Below are 2,909 nucleotides of genomic sequence, written 5' to 3' on the forward strand. Positions count from 1 at the left end.
AAGATTTCAGATAAATTTAAATAAATGATTTCTTAACACCAAAATATCCTTATTCAACTCACAATTGCCTTAGGATAGCTTTTTGTCTGGAAAGTTTCCACTAATAGTTTTAACTCAATTTTCTTAGATGGTTAATTATTACAGATCAATTTCAGACTTTCTTTTACTACTAGCCATCTAAACAATAATGAATATTTAAACACCTTAACCTTGGTGTTAATTTTGCTGTGGATGGCTTTCTTTTGCTGATGTAATGCTGCCCTGTTGGATTTTTGTGCTCCATCCACATTCTTTTGTCAAATTATCATAATGGACTAACGACTAAGGGTTAGGGTGGATGTGGGCTGCAGTGTAGATGATTTACCAAACTATTTACCTTGACCACTTTCAAATTAATTATCATAGAAATCACTCTGTGAATAAGATGATTTGTTTGTGAAAACTGTAGTGATATAGATATTTTTAACCTAGAGGAATTAAAAAAATCTGGCTAACATTTAAAAAAATCCCTGATGAATAGGAAATCTTTGTATTGTATAAGGTTAGGTAAGACCTACTAATAAACATTATTATTATGCTAGAAATTGTATTACTGAATCTATTCTGACAGTTTTTTCCCTTTTGTGTTGTTTAGATTCCAGGATTCTCCATAGGCAGAGTCTAACTGATCCCTGATGTAGAATACTATGTCAACTATCCTCCGAACCCCAGTTATACAGTTGAGTGCAGTCTCTAAGAGCTGCTGCTACTGTTAGTGTAATACAGACAAAACGAAGAACGGAAAGGAGTTATATGTCAGGTTAGAATAGGCAGGATGCCAAAAACCAAGTCCAAATAGCTTTGGGTGTTTTGCCTAGGATCAGTTTCTAGGGTAGCACAATGGGAATTCCCACATGCAAATGCAACATAAGAATCAAAGTCCACTGTCACCTCTGGGATTAAAGCCAGAGAAAGTCAACAAACAGAAAAGACCAGACGGTTATCAGATCCCCTGGTTTGGTTTATTTGGGCTTCTTATAAAGACATGTTGTATCATCTCTGTGACTGTCCTTCATTATTTATAACGACACAGCTCTCTGGACTTGTGTGTCAGTAGCTTCCCACTATGGCATTCTTTCCCCCAACTTTGTACTAGGTGTCTAGTCAGAGTAGTGCTGGTCTTTGGACTTTGCCGGAAGGTGGCTGTGGAAAGATGCCATATGTTTGAGGTATCGCAGAAGTGGGGGGCAACTTTTCAGTTTCACTCATTTACCTTTTCCCCAGCTCCCGATCCCCACCCACTAAACACTGCAGTTGCTCTGATGCCAGAGGGAGTCCTTGAGCTCTTTCTTCATCATTCTGAAGAATATAAAAATTTATCTGCTTTCTGAGCCTAGTCTTTGGTAGATGCATATGCCATGGATCAGGGGCCAATATACCAATGAATATAGCGGTGGGCCTCAGAGATTCCCAATATGATGCTGGAGGAGGGGATGTTTGGGGTGCTTGAGCCCATGGTTTTGTGGTTAGATATATAAACAGAAACAAGAGAAGGAGACTGTTCTATGGAATAGTCCATCATATGGTGGCCACCTTGCCTGCACGACACCTGTTCTTCCACCTACTTAATACAGAAATTTTTGCGTCAGTTCATGGACTTGGATTTGGGCTTCTAGGAGGCAGCTATTGTGGATGTTGGGGCTCAGAAAACAATACCCCAAAATGAAGGCCTCAGAATCAGCCTTAAGAGCAAAAGTTTTTCTTTGATCTTTTCCTGCTGTCCTGTCTTTCAGTCCCATTCTCCCCTGAGGCTAGCCATAGAAGGTATTACAAGTAATGGCAAAAACCACAATTACTTTTGCATCAATCTAATAGACTCCTTCTTCCCCAAGATGGGTTAAATTAGTAGTAATCAGAACCCCTTTTCCCCAAAGCTAGCCATAAACCCTAAAAATATTACTCTAACTTGCTTTCTGCCTCATGTCAGTGATTTTCAGCAAAGCTTCAGGGGTTCTCCTTGGATCCCAAACTTGGAGACCAGAGTCCTAGTCAACTTTCAAGCTGGGCACACTGTGACTCAAGATCTGGGAGAATGTCCGCTATTTAGTGGCCTAATTTGCTGCCATGTGATTGGCTAGAACCCTTCTGAAAGAAATTCCTTGTTTTAAATTCAGGGAGGCAGACAAAACACTATGGTATATAAAATGAGGTTATGATTCTAGAGCATTTGACAGCTAGCTGGTTCCCAGACTTTCTTAACCTCTCTAGTTTGAGTTAGCAGCTCAACCTCCAAGAGCTGTCACAATACCTTGTGTTTCCTGCTGTTATAGCATTTATCATGCCATACAATCTTTGTTCATTTGTTTGTGTACTATTAAAGTGAAGCTTCCTGAAAGCCTGGAGATGTTCTGTATCTGGACATAAAATTGATTAGATGCATGACCAGCCTTTGGGAATTTCATCATAAATATCTTCCAAGAGTCCAACGTAGGCAGTGATGGTTGTGGTCATTTTTTCAAATAACTATTGAAGCACTCACCATTCCACTTCTCCTGAATGGCGGTCTTTAGGGGAATTGATGAATTCTCATCTCTATCCTCACTGACTCTCAGGATCTAGCAGCCAGTAGAGAACAGCTGCTTAATGAATTTCAAGGCTGATTTCAGGTACCTTCGCCACTGAGCTCTGAGTCCTGGGGGGATGACATGTATTATTAGTTCCTGGCCAGGCACCTCCAAGAGCCTCATAAAATTTGCATGTGTCTGGAGCCCAAATTATATGTTTGTTCAAGCAATAACACAAGACAAGAATCTTACCCCTACTTAGGTGAAATTACTTCCCTTTCGGGAAGGAGAGGAGGGCCCTTGTACTATGCAGAAGCATATAATTGAGCCCCATAGTAGACTTGGAGTCTGCCACCCTATCTGCTT

This window comes from Homo sapiens, chromosome 9 (genome assembly GCF_000001405.40).
Source record: "Homo sapiens chromosome 9, GRCh38.p14 Primary Assembly".
NCBI lineage: Eukaryota > Metazoa > Chordata > Mammalia > Primates > Hominidae > Homo > Homo sapiens.